At 59.3% G+C, this 18,597-nt stretch overlaps 2 protein-coding genes across 7 annotated transcripts, besides 2 other annotated features; both read left to right on the forward strand.

Annotated features, from left to right (window-relative positions):
• Nucleotides 99–428: a silencer, noted in NCBI's record as "silent region_8116". NCBI's record gives its function as "represses an Ori minimal core promoter by ATAC-STARR-seq in GM12878 lymphoblastoid cells {active_cell/tissue: GM12878}" and the evidence as "EXISTENCE:reporter gene assay evidence [ECO:0000049][PMID:35858748]".
• On the forward strand, nt 176–15,383 carry NLGN2 (neuroligin 2). 6 transcript variants are annotated; one of them, XM_047436464.1, is made up of 9 exons: nt 176–323; nt 557–1,133; nt 3,138–4,235; nt 7,680–7,730; nt 9,867–10,016; nt 10,186–10,371; nt 10,479–10,671; nt 11,034–11,630; nt 12,449–15,383. In XM_047436464.1, the coding sequence occupies exons 3-9, from the start codon at nt 3,779–3,781 to the stop codon at nt 13,320–13,322; spliced, it is 2,508 nt and encodes an 835-aa protein (XP_047292420.1). In that variant the 5' UTR covers nt 176–323; nt 557–1,133; nt 3,138–3,778; the 3' UTR covers nt 13,323–15,383. The 6 variants fall into 6 exon arrangements, with proteins under 6 accessions (XP_047292420.1, XP_047292419.1, XP_047292418.1 ...); XM_047436463.1 differs by lacking the exon at nt 176–323 and having other exon boundaries at nt 438–1,133; XM_047436462.1 differs by lacking the exon at nt 176–323 and having other exon boundaries at nt 438–1,133; nt 3,535–4,235.
• Nucleotides 15,331–15,850: an enhancer, noted in NCBI's record as "H3K4me1 hESC enhancer chr17:7323127-7323646 (GRCh37/hg19 assembly coordinates)". NCBI's record gives its function as "activates a minimal SCP1, AML or CMV promoter by ChIP-STARR-seq in naive and primed H9 embryonic stem cells {active_cell/tissue: H9 hESC(naive and primed)}" and the evidence as "EXISTENCE:reporter gene assay evidence [ECO:0000049][PMID:30033119]".
• On the forward strand, nt 15,847–17,155 carry SPEM1 (spermatid maturation 1). Its single transcript, NM_199339.3, has 3 exons — nt 15,847–16,051; nt 16,150–16,210; nt 16,404–17,155. Exons 1-3 carry the CDS (start codon nt 15,908–15,910, stop codon nt 17,126–17,128), a joined length of 930 nt encoding a protein of 309 aa, NP_955371.2. The 5' UTR covers nt 15,847–15,907; the 3' UTR covers nt 17,129–17,155.
• Nucleotides 17,156–18,597: the final 1,442 nt, after the last annotated feature.

Raw genomic sequence — 18,597 nt, forward strand, 5'->3', positions numbered from 1 at the left:
CAAATCAAACCCACTACCAAAAAGAGGCGGCCCGAAAGATAGCAAAGCCCCACCTATTGCCAGTAAACCCCGCCCACTGCACAAATGGCCCCTCCCCCATGTCTGAAGGCTCCGCCTTCTTTGTATGATGCCCCGCCCCCTGTAGTTAAGATATTCTCCCCCCCGCCAGCCCTCCGAGACCGCGAGAGCCCCGAGGGTGGGAGATCCGGGGGAATGTCTCCACCCTGCCCTGGCCCGCTACGTCCATCTGTCCGTCTGTCCGCTCCCGCCTCTTCCCACCATCTCCAATCCCCCCATTCTCCGGAGGGCGGGCGGGCAGGCGGGTGCGAGCGGGGGGTGCGAGCGGGGGGTGTGCGCCGCTCTCTCGGCAGGGGGCGGGGGAGGCGGCCGCGCGGTGACGCGCGGGGCTGCTGCGGCTGCTCCGCCGGCGGATCATCACTCTCGGGCTGGGATGGACGCGGGGCGGGCCGGCCCTGGCGCGCGGAGCCAGGAGTCCGGGCCTCCCGGCTGCTGAGCGTCCCTCGAAGCCTCCCCTCACCCCCGCCTTCCCTCCTAGGATCCGCGCTGACCCCCGCCCCGGGGCTCTGGACTCGGCTCCCGCCCTCCTCTGACTCCCCGGACCTCCCCCTCACGCCCGCCCTCGGGATCGACTAGATCCCTCCCCCTCCCCGAGGATTCCGGCTGGATCCCTGCCCCTGCACCGCGGATCCTGCGCTCCCGGGCCCCGGGCCCCTGGGGATTAACGTGGACTCCTCCTCCAGCACCCGATCCTTAGGATCCTCCGCCTGGACCGCCTTCTGGTCCCTCGAAGCCGGCCCACGGAACCAGCGGATCCTCAATCTAGTCCTGTCCCGTTGCCCCCTCCTTTCTCTATCGTCCCTACTGCGGGGTTCCCTGTTCTCGGGCTCCCCCTGATCCCATCCCCTAGCTCTCCTTTTCCCGGGGATCGACTGGATCCCGGCCCCGCCCCCCGGGGCTGGGGCGATCCCCCTCCCCCGCCGGGTGAGGCGCTGCGGGCGGGGGCTGGGCCTGCGGGGCCGCGGGGGCTCAGAGGCCGCCGCCCCCTCCCGAAGGCCTTTCGCCCCCCACTCGGAGCCCTGGATGGAGGCACCACGGCCCCAGGGCTGAGCCAGGTAGGACCTAAGCCGGGTCGGTGGAGGGGGCTGCGTGGCGGTCCACTGGGGTCTCCCTCTCCCCATCTCCCTCCCTGCGCCTGGTTTCCCCCAGCCTGCTCTGTCTGCGTGTCTCCGCCTAGGGATGCTCTCGCCGTGTCTCTGCGTCTTGGTCTCTTTGTCTCTGCCTCTCTCCAGTCCATGAATGATCCTTTGAATGGGCCCACAGACCCCGTGTGTTCCCATCTCCCCCTCCCCCTCCTTCTCCCCTTCCCAGCCAAGCCATTTTCACCACTGCAGGAAGGGGGGGCCTGCGGCCTGAGCCCCCGTCCCTCAACTCTCCCCGGCTGGGGGAGTCAGGCCTGGGCAGGAATGGAGAGAGAAGGCAGAGGGATAGGGAGAAGGAGGAGGGAGCAAGATGTGGCAGACAGAGATGAGGAGAGAAAATGGGGGAGACAGTGATGGGGAAAGACAGGAGAGAGAGACAGAAGGCTTAAGGGGGAAATTTGGGGAAGGCATTTGGAGAGAGAGAAAGAAATGAGAAACACCAAGGAGAGAGATACAGAAGAGAAAGATGTAAAAAGACCGAGGGTGAGAGACTGAAGGCAAGAGCTGGGGCAAGCTGGAAGAGGCCCACAAAAGATGCTCCCAGGGAGCACTACGGAGAGGAGAGAGATGGGGGGGCCTCCAGTGGGAGGGAAGGAGGGAGCGGAGCTGGTGGGAGGAGGCCAGGGGCCCAGAGTACCCTCAAGAGGAGAGGGTGACTGAGGCAGATCTTGTTGTGGGGAGGGGGAGGGGGCAGCAAGGCCATGGTAGCTGAGCCCAGTCTGGCACAGGAAAAGGAGATCCTGGGGGAATCAGCCCCGAGCCACCTCCAGGTGATGGAGGAATAGAGGAGCCTTAGAGAAGCTGAAAGGCAGGGGGCATGACTGGGTGTGTGTGGTAAGGATTCCTGTGTCCTCATCTCTGGAATAAATTGACACCTGCAGAGAGCCACCCGCGGGCTGGCGCCTGGCTCTGAAAACCCCGCGTCAGCAAACAGCTCTGGCGGCTGGTGGGGGGGCGGGGGGGGGGCTTGCCGAAATGACCTGGGTGTCTGCCCCTCCGGTCTGATCTTCTCCCTTGGCTGGCCCCTGCTGCCCTGAGCACCCAGGCATCAGAGCAGCAACTGTAGGGGGGGTGGCAAGGGGAAGGGTAGGTGAATGGATGGGTTGGGATGGGAAGAGAAGAAAGCTCAGTGTTGCCCCCAGGACATGGGTCACAATGGCTTGCAAAGATGAAAAGGTGGTGGGGTCCAAGGTTGCTTGAAATTGCTGGAGGGGGGCAGTCAGTAGGCTCCTGTGATGTCTCTTCAAGCCCACCTCAGCACCCCCTCTCCCAAGCCAGAGGCCTGGTCACTAAGGCTAGGCTTTGATTGGCCAACAGGCAGGGCTTTTAGCGTTCTTGGTGCCCCCAATCTCCCCCTCCTCTCAACATATATACTTCTTCCTCTATGTTAAGGTTGGGGGGAACTCTTGCATTCTGACTCACGCCTTTGCCCTCCCCTTCATGCCCTGAATGGACCACCAAACCAAGCCAGCCCCTTCCCGTCTTCCTCCAGAACCCCCCTCCAGGGTTAAAGCTGCAGCCCGTTGCCGAGGTAACATTGCGGGGCAGCATCCCGTCACCCGGCAACCGGCTGCAGGATCACGCATCTGTCCCTGGATTTGCCCCTCCAGCGTCCCCTCCCTACTCTAACCCCAGCCTCAAGGTACCCCAACTTCTGACGGAGGAAATGGAGAGAGTCTGGGGAGAGAGGGGTCGCAGGCAGCACAAATCCTTAGCGAATGGTGTGTTGAAGTGGGGATAAGGTGCTAGGTTTGTGCAGTCCCAAGAAAGGCCTGAGTCTGGCCTGGGGTGGGGGTTCAGCGCCATGAAATTACAGCTCAGGAGTAATTAACACATATAAACAAACCTGCCTCTTCCAGCTAATTAATGACTTGGTATTTTTGTTTTCTCTTCCTTGTCTACCTCATTCCCTCCCAGGGAGGTGGGAGCTGGGACTCCTGAGTCCCTGAGGAGAACCTGCCTGGGAGGGATACATCAGCTGGAAGGGAGCATGCTGGGTCTGGAGAGCTGACCCGCCTCTCCTCTGGCTGGGTCCTGGACTTGAACCACATCTGGGCCCCACCCCCAACCTAGGCGTCTGCTGAGGGGAGAAGGGCTGCTGGGTGGGAGTGGGGAGGTGTCAGGGGGCCTGTGGGTGGGAGAAGGGGGCAACTTGGTCTGAATTCCAGGTCACTAACCACTTGTCTCTTCTGTTTCCCCATTCCTTTCTGTCTGCCCCATCCAATTTCCCTTGCCCTCTTCCACCTCTGTATTTTTCTGTCTGTCCGTCTGTCTGTATCCTGCCTCCCTGCCCCTCTCGCTCCACCCCCCGCAGGTCGGGCCTGCCTTCACCTTCTCCCATTTCCTTCCCCTTCCCCACCCCGTGCCCCCTCCATGGAGAGGAACAGACCCCTTCTCTGTCCAGTCTAACCCAGGTCCCTCCCCAACCCCCTCCTCCCTCCTTTCCCCCCGCCCCTCCTCCCTCCTGGGGCGAGGGGGGCCTCCCTCCCTCTCCCCCCCTTCTCTCTCTCTCCGAGGGGGGGGGGTCCCAGGGAGGGAGGGGGGGTCCCCCGATCAGCATGTGGCTCCTGGCGCTGTGTCTGGTGGGGCTGGCGGGGGCTCAACGCGGGGGAGGGGGTCCCGGCGGCGGCGCCCCGGGCGGCCCCGGCCTGGGCCTCGGCAGCCTCGGCGAGGAGCGCTTCCCGGTGGTGAACACGGCCTACGGGCGAGTGCGCGGTGTGCGGCGCGAGCTCAACAACGAGATCCTGGGCCCCGTCGTGCAGTTCTTGGGCGTGCCCTACGCCACGCCGCCCCTGGGCGCCCGCCGCTTCCAGCCGCCTGAGGCGCCCGCCTCGTGGCCCGGCGTGCGCAACGCCACCACCCTGCCGCCCGCCTGCCCGCAGAACCTGCACGGGGCGCTGCCCGCCATCATGCTGCCTGTGTGGTTCACCGACAACTTGGAGGCGGCCGCCACCTACGTGCAGAACCAGAGCGAGGACTGCCTGTACCTCAACCTCTACGTGCCCACCGAGGACGGTAAGGGCGCGGGCACAAAGCCGGGCACCCCGTGGACACAGCCCACAAACGCACATGCAGACCCTCAGGCACTGGCACCGCTCTAGGGCTCAGAGCTGGGCCTTTGTGGGGGCAGTGAGGGACGGAGTGTCCCTGCAACCTCTACGTGCCCCCTGAGGATTGTAAGGGTGCCTCCAGGCAGTCCCAGGCACACACTCTGCAGACAGCCTCTCCATAAGTTCTTTACGCCCATGGGGGGCCATGGTAGGGATGGCAGGCACTGGACTAGGCTCACCCACTGTCTCCCCAAAGAGGCACAGTCTGCCAGCTAATCTCAACCTGGCCACGGAGGGGGAATCAGGTGATCCATCCTCTGCTCAGACACCCACTCCAACCTTGCCCCGCCTCCCGCCGCCAGACCTGGGCTTGTTCCTGGCAGAATACCCAGGTTAGCTACATCTGCACCCCAAGGACAACGCAGGCTCTCCCTCTCCCCCTGGCTGGTGAGGGCTGCCTTCCATCTATCACATCATGTCCAGAGCCCCTTGCCTGAGCTGAGCACCTTGGCAGTGGTACCGATGTCCTTCTCTTCTCCCTTGACCCCTGTACGCCCCTGAAGGATCAGGGAAGCTCCTTGCTGAGGGCCAGCACAGCCCACCCGTCTTCCCTGGGGCTCTTGAATTTCTGTTCTTAATGAACTCTTGTTCACTACAGGACTGCTCATAGCCCCTGGCACATTCCTTCTGGACAGTTCTCCACCCTCCATCCTCAGCACTCCAAGACTAATCAGAACACCTTCCAGAGTGTGAACAGGGTGCAATAGGTGGATTCCAGCCATCTCAGCAGACCAGCCTCACAAACACCCCCCTGCACCCCGCATGGCTCTTCTGACACCCATCTTACCACTCCAAAACATGGCAGCGTCTGCGTATAGACCATCCGCTGCCACCACGCTTCCCACAGTCCATGTTTCCAGCAACCTTACACATAGGCCTGGTACCCAGGAGCTCCTAATGTACCCTGTACATACCCAGCACCTCCACGGCATGTGCTCAAGTCCCAAAACAGATGGCAAATCCCAACTACTCCACAATTAAATCATCACCCAACCAACCTGTACACTGACCTTGTGCTCCAGCACCCCACAATCACAATTCCCAGTACTTTCATATCACACACACCCCCAGTACATCTCTGAAACTATGTACCATGTCACCCACACACACCTGTGCTCCCCAGCATCCCTGGATATAGATCACGTGCCTTAAGAACATCCACACATCCAGTAACCTGCGCGCCTGGGCCGTGTGCTCAGCAGGCCCCTCACATCACAGTCCCCAACATCCCCAACACTCCTCAATCATTGTTTACCCCACTCCTACCTAGAGATCATCTGCACCGGACCTCAGGTGGTGAAAACACATCCGGCAAGCTTGCACCCTACTCACCAAACAAGTACTCCAACACCATGCCCCCTGCACTCAGAATCCCCCCCTGCCAAACACGGAACATCTCATGCACCTCCACCCACCCATGTCCATCCCAATACCTCGCAAATGGACCATTCACCCTGTATCCCCCATCCCAGCCATACCCCTCTCCATATAAACCACGCCTCCCCACAACCCATACACACAATGCACAGAGCGTCATCTACTCTAATCCTATTCAAATTTGAAGCACCCTAGTTCCCCATAAGCCATTTATCCCAGTACATGCCCCACGTGCCCCCCAGTACAATGCCCTCCACAGAAGAGCTGTGCACACCACACTCCTCTGCCATCCCAGCGCCTGCCCCATCATGAGTCCTTCACCTCAGCACCTCCATGTGGGCTGCCCATCCCAGCACTCCCTACTCTCACACAGGCTCTGCACACCCCAGGGCCCCCTCATGGGTGCTGTCTCGTCACCTTCCATGTGAAACATCCACCCAGCACTTGTCACCAATGGACTGTCCACCCCAACACCTCCACACAGTTGTCCACCCCTGCCCCCACACCACCCTTGCCCACACCTTCTGTATTTTTAGCCACTGCTGATTGCAGACCTGCCTGGGGCCTGACACATTCAGGTGATCTCACTGAATCTTCACACCAGCTCTGGGAGGAAGAGGTTGACTCAGGCGCGCGCGCGCACACACACACGCGCTTCATAGACTCACGTGCACACGTGCCTTGCTCACTTTGTCCCCACCCCATCCTCTCACAAAGAAGAGGCCCTGTTCCCAGCGGGTCCCCATGGGGCCATCACTGCCACTTAGGAGACGCCTTCCAGAGCTTGCCTTGGCCTTGACCCATCCTTGGCCTTGACCCACGTGCCAGTCCCTGTGCCATTGAGGAAAAACCAATCAGCCTCGGGGAACCCCCAGGCCTCTGGGCTCCAGCTCGCCCCTGACCAACCCCGTAATCTGGAAGAAGCCCTGACACTGGGCGAACCTGGTGCTCCCGGTACCTGCTGGCACCTGTGTGCCAGGCTGGCTCAGGGCACTGTGTTCCTCGTTCCCTATCTGTGGACTGAACCACCCGCTCGGCCGTTGGGGAAGGGGTGCTTTTTGGCAGTGGAGCAGGGGCAGGGGAGGCAGCGGCTGGTGGCCCTGGTGGGAAATTCACCATTTTGGGGGGAGGAGAGGAAGCCTGGGTAAGGGACGAGGTTGGGGGGAGTGCGGAGGGTTGAGCTGGAGCGGAGGGCAAGACCTGATGACCCCCTTCCCTGCTTTGCCCACACTGGGGAGCTGGGGTGAGAAGCCAGGCCTGTGAGTGTGGATAGACGAGAAGTGCTGGTGGTGAGGCTGGGTAGCGGGCGGGCAGCCCCAGCTGACCTTCCCATAGCCCTCCAGTGGGGAGCGGAAGGCTTCTGGGGCTGAGCTGTGGGGCAGGCTGCCCCCCAACCCTGTCCTGCTCGCTGCCCTGCAGAGTGGTCCAGAGGGAAGCAGAGTCTTTTCTGCGGCAGTCTCTCCTCCCTACAGCCTTGTGGGGGGCGGCAGGCAGGTGCTTCGCTGGCCCTGAAGGGGGCCTTCTGAGAGGTGGCCTGGGTGGCAAGCTGGCCTTGGTCTCCCAGGGGCTCTGGGTGGGCTTCCCCTCCCCTCCCACCCCACCTCTAACACTGTTTCATTTCCAGCAATTAGCAAACACATCGACAAGCCAAAACCTTTCCAGCCAAGTCGATATGTCTTAAGACAGGCCTCAGCCCACTCAGGCACCCCACCCCCCCAAAACCAGCCTTTTCTTTGGGGCATGACTTTTTCTGGGGAGGGGAACAAAATTGGGTTGTAGAAACGTTTTTCTCTTTTCTTGGTTTCTTTTTCTTGCAAACAAATTTTGCTTTTTTTTGGCTTCTTTTTTCTGCCTCCCCCACCCTCCCCTTTTCTGCTTTCTCTCCTCCCCTCCCCATCCACCACCTCCCCCCGACCCCCATCTTTCCCCACAAAATTGTCCTTTTTTCTCTGTTTTGTGTTCCCGGTCTTAGGTCCGCTCACAAAAAAACGTGACGAGGCGACGCTCAATCCGCCAGACACAGGTAGATTTAAAAATCCCGCTGCTGCATGTGGTTGCTTATAAGAGGACATTCATGGCCCTGCCCCTCACTAAATGTCCCCACAGCCCTCAAGGCCCCTCAGTCGTTCTCCCAACTAAAATGAAAAAGAAAAGAAAAGAAAAATGTTTAATAATTGGAAAAAAGAATTATGAAAACTTCAAACGAAATTTGAACAATGTTGGACCCAGTAGAAAACCTGCCAGAAAAGCTAAACATGGTGAAAATAAGCTGAAAAACAAAAAGAAATTGGAATGTCAGAAAAATAAAATTCAAAAGAATTGGTTAAAATGTTTAGAATTTGAAAGAAATCTGGACAGTTTTGAAACTTGTGAAATGTAACATTTGAAAAAACCAATTTGAAATTGGAACAAAACAACAGTTCAAAAAAAATTTAAAAGTTGGCAAATTGATGACACCATTGAAACATCAGAAGCCTGTCGCAATTTCCAAAAGCCTGTCAGACACAGAAAACGCAAACATTCGAAGTGAATTAAAGAATTTGACAATTTTTTAAAACAGGGCCCAATATCTTGAAGTTTCACCACAAAATTTTGAAAAAAAAATGCAAAGAATTTTTTTCTTTTTTTCTTTTTTCCCAAAATGGATCTTTTTGTTTTTTCTTTTCTTGTTGAATCTGCCCCGAGAGCTTCTTGCTTTTTGGTTGTTTTTTTCTTTCTTTCTTTCTTTCTTCTTTCTTGATCCTGTTTTTGTTGTTGGTTTTGAATTCTTGTCGCCCCAGCCCCTCTTCCTGCTCCTTCCCTTTCTGACCCCTCCTCCCCTCACACTGGGAGAGGGGTGGGGTGAGGATGGGAGAACTGAGGACAATTAGGACAGGACCTTGGAGGGAAGGAGATTCCGGCCTGAAAGTGCTGGGAGGTCACTTGAGGTTCAGGAGCAAAGGAGAGGACAGGATTTGAGGAGAACCCAGCGAGGGTGCTGCCCACATAGAAGCTCTGGCGGAAGCAGTCAGGAGCATGGGGGCTGCACAGGGGGTCTTAGGGATGGGAGGCAGGAAGCTGTCTGTGAGGTCAAGGAGAATGTCTTAGTGACCTGCAGGTTGACCTTCTGGCAGGAGGGATGTTTCTACCAGGATGAGGGAGGTGGGCAGAGATGCTGGGGACCAGCTGTGGAGGCCCAGGCCTGGCTTTGGTTTGCTGAGTATCCAGGCTAGCAGGGAGGGCCAGTGTCAAGAAAGAGGAGGGCCTGTGGGCCAGGGGTGACCCCAGCCCTAGCACTATGGCTGAATCATGGGGAGCTGCAGGGGAGGATACTGTAGCCTCGGGGACCCTGGCAAGCACTCTCAGACTCCCACATCCTCTGGAATTAGTCACCCTTCAGTCCAATCTGGAGCAACTCAAGGGCCTGATCACATGTGGCAGTGATCAGGGGATCCTCAGGGGGTATGGCGGGAAGGAGCCCAGTGCAGAACCCAGGGCTCAGGCCAGTTTGGGGGTGTCCAAAACTAAGCTGCACCCTGGCTTCATTAAGCAGGCTCTTCCTCCTCCTGCCACAGTAATTAGGCTGGGGGTTGCCATGGTGACTGGGGAGGTGACCTAGAAAGGAATTAGGGCGGGGAGGAGACCAAGCCCCAGGGACCCTAGGCCTGGCACCCCTCACCCACAGACCAGGGACCCTAGGCCTGGCACCCCTCACCCACCGACCAGGGTGCCATGTGGAGTGGAGGCCCAAGGCCTGAGTCGGAGGAGACACCAGGACCCTCCCAGCAGCTCCAGCTCCAGTTCTAGCCTCGGGAGCTTGCTCTTCCCAGGGACAGGAAGGAGATGTGCTGTGTGCGGGGGTGCTGGGGGTTCCCTGGATCCAGCAGATGCCCTAAGGAGGGCCACTGCCCACCCCCAGCCTCTACGGGGTTTCTTGGAAAGTCTGCATTGGAGAAGTGCCGCGGGGAAGGCTGGCAGAGGGTGGGGAGGGAATGTCTGCCAGGGCTAGCTGGGGAGGGAGGAGGGGAATCCGGTCTTGCCCCCCAGGGATGGGAGTGACATGTCCCCTGAGCTCCAGGCCAGTCCTCAGCAGGCCTGGGAGCTGGGCGCTGCTGCTTCCGGTCTGACTGTGTCCTTGTCCCTGACCCCCTGGCCCACCTGCCCACCCCTCCCCACACAGATATCCGTGACCCTGGGAAGAAGCCTGTGATGCTGTTTCTCCATGGCGGCTCCTACATGGAGGGGACCGGAAACATGTTCGATGGCTCAGTCCTGGCTGCCTATGGCAACGTCATTGTAGCCACGCTCAACTACCGTCTTGGGGTGCTCGGTGAGGGTGGGCAGCCAACTCTGGGGCTCGGGGGAGTCTGGGAGGTGGGCCTGGTGGGCAGGGTTCCTCCACATCCAGCAGAATGGCTTCTGGGCTGGACTGAGCTGCCCAGAAAGGGGGCAGGGGCGCTGTGACACCTCCAGGGAGCCCTCTTCTTCTCTACTCCCAGGTTTTCTCAGCACCGGGGACCAGGCTGCAAAAGGCAACTATGGGCTCCTGGACCAGATCCAGGCCCTGCGCTGGCTCAGTGAAAACATCGCCCACTTTGGGGGCGACCCCGAGCGTATCACCATCTTTGGTTCCGGGGCAGGGGCCTCCTGCGTCAACCTTCTGATCCTCTCCCACCATTCAGAAGGTACCAGCAGTGTCCCAGCCTGTTCCACCCTTCCCAACCCTGCCAACTCCCCCCTCTCCTTCAGGCCGGTACTCACAGCCTGGCCTGAGGTCTGCCTGTCCCGCCAGGGCTGTTCCAGAAGGCCATCGCCCAGAGTGGCACCGCCATTTCCAGCTGGTCTGTCAACTACCAGCCGCTCAAGTACACGCGGCTGCTGGCAGCCAAGGTGGGCTGTGACCGAGAGGACAGCGCTGAAGCTGTGGAGTGTCTGCGCCGGAAGCCCTCCCGGGAGCTGGTGGACCAGGACGTGCAGCCTGCCCGGTATGGGGTGGGAGAGGGCTGGGTCCAGGCCTTCAAGGTTCCAAGGAGGCTGAGGTGAGAGGTGCCTGTGGGCATACCATTTGGCAAGGAGGGATGGGCTTCTGGCCCCCAGTAAGTGGCCTCCTCTTGCAAGCCTTCCTTCAGTGGAGGTGCTCAATCAGAGCAGGTGAGCACAGGGTGCCATGAAGTGCTTTGGGATGACTTCCAGAGAGGCCAGATCTCCCAAAGGACCCACTGGAGGATTTCAAGTAGGGAAGAAGGGTCTTGCAGGTAGAGGGAAGCATCTGCGTGTGGGCTTAGCAGGCCACAGGCCAAGAGGAGGCCAGTGAGCAGGTGGTGAGACCCTGACCCCTTCTCCCCAGCTACCACATCGCCTTTGGGCCCGTGGTGGATGGCGACGTGGTCCCCGATGACCCTGAGATCCTCATGCAGCAGGGAGAATTCCTCAACTACGACATGCTCATCGGCGTCAACCAGGGAGAGGGCCTCAAGTTCGTGGAGGACTCTGCAGAGAGCGAGGACGGTGTGTCTGCCAGCGCCTTTGACTTCACTGTCTCCAACTTTGTGGACAACCTGTATGGCTACCCGGAAGGCAAGGATGTGCTTCGGGAGACCATCAAGTTTATGTACACAGACTGGGCCGACCGGGACAATGGCGAAATGCGCCGCAAAACCCTGCTGGCGCTCTTTACTGACCACCAATGGGTGGCACCAGCTGTGGCCACTGCCAAGCTGCACGCCGACTACCAGTCTCCCGTCTACTTTTACACCTTCTACCACCACTGCCAGGCGGAGGGCCGGCCTGAGTGGGCAGATGCGGCGCACGGGGATGAACTGCCCTATGTCTTTGGCGTGCCCATGGTGGGTGCCACCGACCTCTTCCCCTGTAACTTCTCCAAGAATGACGTCATGCTCAGTGCCGTGGTCATGACCTACTGGACCAACTTCGCCAAGACTGGGTGAGGGCCAGAGGGGCTGGGCGGGGCTGGGCGGGGCCCTCCCTCCTTCACATGGCCGCCGTTCCTCTGTTAAGGCACTCACTCTGGCCTGCCCTCTTGCTCGAGTGAAACCAACCCAGACACCTCTGTGCCAGGCACGGAGTTGAGCGTTGGAGACTCAGCAGTATCAGACAGAGAAGCCGCTGTCCTTTCTGGGGAGTTGGGGGCCCACTCAGTGGCTTTGGCTTGGCGTCTGTCTCTCCCTCCTCCTTGCCTGATCCCCCCTGCCCGACCCCCCTAGGGCTCTGCATCTCTGGCTGACTGCTCAGGTGTGTGTGTCTGAGTGTGTGTAAGAGTTTGTGTGTCTCTACTTCTGTCTCTGTCTCTCTGAAAATCCACTGACAGCTCTCCACCTCCCTCTGCTGCTCTCTTTTGTCTGCTTACTTTTCGCTTTCTCTGGCTGCCGGCTGATTTCAGCCTGGCTGTGTATCTGTCTCTGGCTGTCCCTCCCGTGTCTTTGACCCTGTCTGTGTTTCATTCAGGCTCAGCTTCTGCTTCTCCCTGGCTATCTCTGTGTGTGTCCCTGCCCCTCTGCCCGCATTTCTGGCTGTCTCTGCCAGTCTGTCTCCATCCCTATTTGCCTATTTGCCTGAAGAGACAGGCAGTTTCTCTGTCTCTTCATATCCATCTGTGTCTCTCTGCCTCTGTGACTTTTTCTCTGGCTTTCTTGCTGTCCCCCTGTCTCTCTGCATCTCTGTCTGTCTCCCTGCCCACTGCCATCCACCCTCCTTCAGAGCCTTGCCCTCACTCCTCCTTTCCCTGCCCTCCTGTGCCCACAGGGACCCCAACCAGCCGGTGCCGCAGGATACCAAGTTCATCCACACCAAGCCCAATCGCTTCGAGGAGGTGGTGTGGAGCAAATTCAACAGCAAGGAGAAGCAGTATCTGCACATAGGCCTGAAGCCACGCGTGCGTGACAACTACCGCGCCAACAAGGTGGCCTTCTGGCTGGAGCTCGTGCCCCACCTGCACAACCTGCACACGGAGCTCTTCACCACCACCACGCGCCTGCCTCCCTACGCCACGCGCTGGCCGCCTCGTCCCCCCGCTGGCGCCCCGGGCACACGCCGGCCCCCGCCGCCTGCCACCCTGCCTCCCGAGCCCGAGCCCGAGCCCGGCCCAAGGGCCTATGACCGCTTCCCCGGGGACTCACGGGACTACTCCACGGAGCTGAGCGTCACCGTGGCCGTGGGTGCCTCCCTCCTCTTCCTCAACATCCTGGCCTTTGCTGCCCTCTACTACAAGCGGGACCGGCGGCAGGAGCTGCGGTGCAGGCGGCTTAGCCCACCTGGCGGCTCAGGCTCTGGCGTGCCTGGTGGGGGCCCCCTGCTCCCCGCCGCGGGCCGTGAGCTGCCACCAGAGGAGGAGCTGGTGTCACTGCAGCTGAAGCGGGGTGGTGGCGTCGGGGCGGACCCTGCCGAGGCTCTGCGCCCTGCCTGCCCGCCCGACTACACCCTGGCCCTGCGCCGGGCACCGGACGATGTGCCTCTCTTGGCCCCCGGGGCCCTGACCCTGCTGCCCAGTGGCCTGGGGCCACCGCCACCCCCACCGCCCCCCTCCCTTCATCCCTTCGGGCCCTTCCCCCCGCCCCCTCCCACCGCCACCAGCCACAACAACACGCTACCCCACCCCCACTCCACCACTCGGGTATAGGGGGTGGGTGGGGAGGCCCTCCTCCCCGGCCCTCCCTGGCCCGGCCACTCCGAAGGCAGGGAGGAGGACTTGGCAACTGGCTTTTCTCCTGTGGAGTCGTCACACGCCATCCAGCAGCGCTAAGGTGGACATGGGATTCCTCCCTGCGATGCGTGTCTTTCCCACGCAGAGAAGCCCAGTCTCTTCTCTGGATCTGGGCCTTTGAACAACTGGGGGGCGTTTTCTCCCCCCCATTGGGACACCAGTCTTCGGTGTGTGGAATGTGGTATTTTCCCGCGTGGAGGTGTGCTTTCTCACAACGGGGTGTGTTTTCCCATGTGCAGGGTGAGGTTTTTTTTTGCCACCCTGGACACATGTTGGCCCCCTCAAAGAATTTCTGTGGGGATTTGTACCCCAGAATCCTGTTCCCCCATCCCTTCTCCCACCTCCTCCCCTCTCCCTCCCCCTGGAGACCCTGGAAGTGGTGTGTTCACATACAGTGACCCTTGGCCACCAGACCACAGAGGATGGAGCCTGGGAAGCAGCGAGGAAATCACAGCCCCCTCGCCCCTGCCTCCCTTGCCCCTACCCCGGCGAAGCATGTTCCCCCCGACGCCCCCCTTGGCACAAGTCAGATGAAGCACGTTCTGCCGGGGAGGCCCTCACCTTCCAGAGAGGACAGACACAGATTTCCTGCTGGGGGAGGGAGGAGTCCACGCATCCTGATGCTGCCTGGAAGCTTATTTTCCCGTGGCCAGGACGCATTTCTCTGAGTGGAAACAGGTTCTTGCATGTGGATGTGTGTTTCCCCAGGCAGACGGCCCCTCTCTTCCCAGCACTTCCCTGCCTCCCCCAGGCCTCAGGCCCAGCACCCAGTTCCTCCTCACATGGCAGGTGAGCACAGACTTCTAGTTGGCAGGAGCTGAGGAGGGTGAACAAACCCCGAGGGAGGCCCGGCCCTTGCTCCCGAGTTGGGGGGAGGGGGTGTGGCAACGTGCCCCCCGCAGAGGCCACGCATGTTTGACCAAAGCCCTCATTGTGGTCCGAGGACAGCCTTTTCCCCAGGCCTCAGAGCATTGCTCATCCGTGCCAAACTGGGTAGGTGGATTTGAGCGGAAAGACTCCCAAAATGTGCCAAGAATTTCCCAGTCCCAGGCAGGGCAGGGGAAACTAAGGGCAAGCAGGATACAGGGCGAGGGATGTGGCAGGTGAGGGGGCTCCCGCCTGTGCCCCTTCTCCTCACCATGTCTCCCCCACCCTGCCTCAGTTCTCCGTTCCCCTTCATCTCCGTCCCCCTCTTTGAAGCTGTCCCCATCTCAGTGTCAGACCAGCCTTCTCCTCAGCTGACCACCCTCCTCTGACCCACGCCCCCTCCTTGTCTGAAAGAAAGGAGCCTTGAATGGTGGAGGGAGGCAGTGGGGAGAAAGGTCTCACCGGACAGGTTGGGAGAATGAGGTCAGCGGTGCTGGGGAACAGATGGAGGGGGCAGTGGGGACAGGGCTTGGGCAGACACCAGCAGGAATAATTTGAAATGTGTGAGGTGACTCCCCGGAGGGCCTTGGGCTTGGGCATTTGGGAAAAGAATGATGTCTGGAAGGGCTTAAGGGACACAGTGGACGAGGGGAGAGTCCTCATCTGCTGGCATTTTGTGGGGTGTTAGTGCCAAACTTGAATAGGGGCTGGGGTGCTGTCTTCCACTGACACCCAAATCCAGAATCCCTGGTCTTGAGTCCCCAGAACTTTGCCTCTTGACTGTCCCTTCTCTTCCTACCTCCATCCATGGAAAATTAGTTATTTTCTGATCCTTTCCCCTGCCTGGTCTAGCTCCTCTCCAAACAGCCATGCCCTCCAAATGCTAGAGACCTGGGCCCTGAACCCTGTAGACAGATGCCCTCAGAATTGGGGCATGGGAGGGGGGCTGGGGGACCCCATGATTCAGCCACGGACTCCAATGCCCAGCTCCTCTCCCCAAAACAATCCCGACAATCCCTTATCCCTACCCCAACCCTTTGCGGCTCTGTACACATTTTTAAACCTGGCAAAAGATGAAGAGAATATTGTAAATATAAAAGTTTAACTGTTGGTTGTGCCTGCTCTGTTGTGGGGAGGGCGGTCTCTAAAGAAACAAGCCCTGGGGAAGTGACGAGGGAGGAGGGGTCTTTTCAGTGACCAGCTCTGAGGTCTGAGAGGAAGGGGGAGTGTGTGCTGGGGTCTGGTTGCCATGGTAATGGGTCTGTTTGGCAAATGAATGTCAGGACCCGTGTCTATGCCGAGACTGGAGCCTGGTGTCGTTCTATAATGGAAGGACAAAGGCTGATGGGGGCAGATGTCAAACAGGCCAGAGGCCCAGTGGGCTGGTGTAGGCAGCTAGCTCAGCAGAGGTATGTGAGGTGAGAGGCATGGCCTCTGCCAAGGCCTGGACTCAGGCGAGAGGGTCAGCCACGGGTCCAGGACTCAGGGTAGCCCCTTGGCACACTGGAAGGGAGTGGCCTGGCACCATTGTGACCCGTTCACTCCCAAGACCCTCAGGGACAGGCAGGCAGTCAGTGGACACTGTCGGCACGGTGGGCTGGGGGCGTAAGGGCCCCGGTGGTCCTAGGGACCCCATGGCCATGGTTGAGCGGCCGAGGCCCGAGTGGGCCTCGTATCACAACTGCAACAGCAACAGCTGCCAGGACCTGGGCAACTCTGTCCTGTTGCTGCTGGGCCTCATCATCTGCATTAACATTAGCATCAATATAGTGACCCTGGTCAGGGTGGGGCCAGATGGGAGGGAGCTGGTGGGATAGTGGGGGGCAGGCCTGCCGGCCAGGGCCTACCTGGGATCACTGTGTCTTCCCCCACCTAGCTCTGGAGCCGATTCCGTGGTGTCTTATACCAAGTGTTCCATGATACCATTTGTGAGAAAGGTAAGAGGTCTGGGGGCTGGGACATAGGAGGGGCAGAAACCAAGTGCTCTAGCCTCAGCCCTAAATTAGCCCCTTCCCTTCTTGCTCGCCCCTCTCAGACAACATAGCTGTGTGGCTGCCCTTCCTGGGCCCTGCCTCTCCATGCCTGTAGGAGCTGGCCTCCCCACTAGTCTCACCTCTCCCCCATCCACAGAAGCTCCCAAGTCATCATTACTCAGAAAGCAGACCCAGCCCCCTAAGAAGCAGAGTTCTCCTGCAGTCCATCTTCGGTGCACCATGGACCCTGTGATGATGACTGTGTCCCCGCCCCCAGCTCACCGCCATCGCCGTCGAGGCTCTCCCACACGCTGTGCTCACTGCCCAGTAGCTTGGGCTCCTGACACTGATGACGAGAAGCCTCATCAGTACCCAGCCATCTGCTCCTACCACTGGGATGTCCCTGAGGACTGGGAAGGCTTCCAACACACTCAGGGGACCTGGGTTCCCTGGTCTCAGGATGCCCCAGAGTCCCCTCCCCAGACCATCCGCTTCCAGCCTACCGTAGAGGAAAGGCCCCTCAAAACAGGCATATGGTCCGAGCTGGGCCTAAGGGCCTATGTGTATCCTGTGAACCCCCCACCTCCCAGCCCTGAGGCTCCTAGCCACAAGAACGGTGGGGAGGGGGCGGTGCCAGAGGCAGAGGCGGCTCAGTACCAGCCTGTCCCAGCTCCCACCCTGGGCCCAGCAGTCATCCCTGAATTTTCCCGGCACCGCTCCTCAGGCCGAATAGTGTATGATGCCCGGGACATGAGACGGCGGCTTCGGGAACTGACCCGGGAGGTGGAGGCCCTGTCCGGCTGCTACCCCCTAGCCTCTGGATCCAGCACTGCCGAGGAGACAAGCAAGAATTGGGTGTACCGTTCCCTAACTGGGAGGTGACTGGAAAAAAATAAAAAGGAGAGAGGAGGTGATCTGTGGTGGTGCTGGGGTGCCAGGGCCCACACAGCACCTAGAAGCTGTGGCTGTGAAGAGAATGCTCTCCCTAGCCACAGGGCCCTGAGCCCTGAGGACCCTCATTAACCTTTTGCCCCACAGGCCTGTCCCTGTCCTCAGCCTTTCCTAGGCCCTTCTGGGTTCCAAGGCTCTTACCTGCCTCTACCTTGTTTTCAATTTTTTTTTTTTTTTGAGACAGGGTCTTCTCTGTTGCCCGGGCTGGAGTGCAGTGGTGCAATCACAGTTCACTGCAGTCCCAACTGTCTCCCACCTCAGCCTCCTGAGTCACTAGGACTACAGGCATGGGCCACTAGTTTGTTGTTGTTGTTGTTGTTTGTTCGGTTGGTTGGTTTTTGTGTGGGGGGGGTTGTTTTTGTTTTTAAGACAGAGTCCTATTCTTGTCACCCACACTGGACTGCAATGGCACAATCTTGGCTCACTGCAACCTCTGCCTCCCAGGTTCAACCAATTCTCCTGCCTTCAGCCTCCTGAGTAGCTGGGACTACAGGCGTGTGCCACCATGCCCTGCTAATTTTTGTATTTTTAGTGCAGATGGGGTTTTGCCATGTCGGCCAGGCTGGTCTTGAACTCCTGACCTCAGGTGATCCGCCCGCCTCAGCCTCCCAAAGTGCTGGGATAACAGGTGTGAGCCACCCCACCCCAGCCGCACCACTATTTTTTGTAGAGATTGGGTTTCACTACTTTGCCTAGGCTGGTCTCAAACTCCTGGGCTCAATCGATCTGCCTGCCTCAACCTCTGAAAGTTCTGGGATTACAGGTGTGAGCCACTGTGCCCGGACTGTTTCCTCCCCCTCCCCTGAGGCAGGGTCTTGATCTGTCACTCAGGCTGGAGGGCAGTGGTGCAATCATGGCTCACTGGAGACTCAACCTCCTGAGCTCAAGCAGTCTTCCTGCCTCAGCCTCCTGAGTAGCTGGGACAACAGGCACCACCACGCCCAGTTAATTCCTTGTTTTCTTTAGTGCACAGAGAAGCCCCTAAATTCTACCCCAGGTCCCCAGGCAGTCGTGCACTAGAGGAGAGATCTCCATCTCCATGGCCCTAGCTCCTCAGAAGGCTGGTGCCTGCCAGAGCCCAGCGTTAGGCTGCAGCCACCGGTGAGGCCTGGTTCCCACGTAAGCCCTGATTTATTTGGGGAGGGATGGCTGAGAGGGCGTCTAGTCCTTCACAGTTCCCCAGTCACCCTGAAGGTCCTATACCCTTAAGCAGGATTGGAGCAGAGGAGGAAATATTGGGGCCCCCTTGGCTGGGCGCAGTGGCTAACGCCTGTAATCCCAGCACTTTGGGAAGCCGAGGCGGGCGGATCACGAGGTCAGGAGGTCGAGACCTCTTGGCTAACACAGTGACACCCCGTCTCTACTAAAAAATGAAAAATAAAAAATAAAAAAATTAGCTG

This window comes from Homo sapiens, chromosome 17, assembly GCF_000001405.40.
Source record: "Homo sapiens chromosome 17, GRCh38.p14 Primary Assembly".
In the NCBI taxonomy this organism is placed as follows: Eukaryota; Metazoa; Chordata; class Mammalia; order Primates; family Hominidae; genus Homo; species Homo sapiens.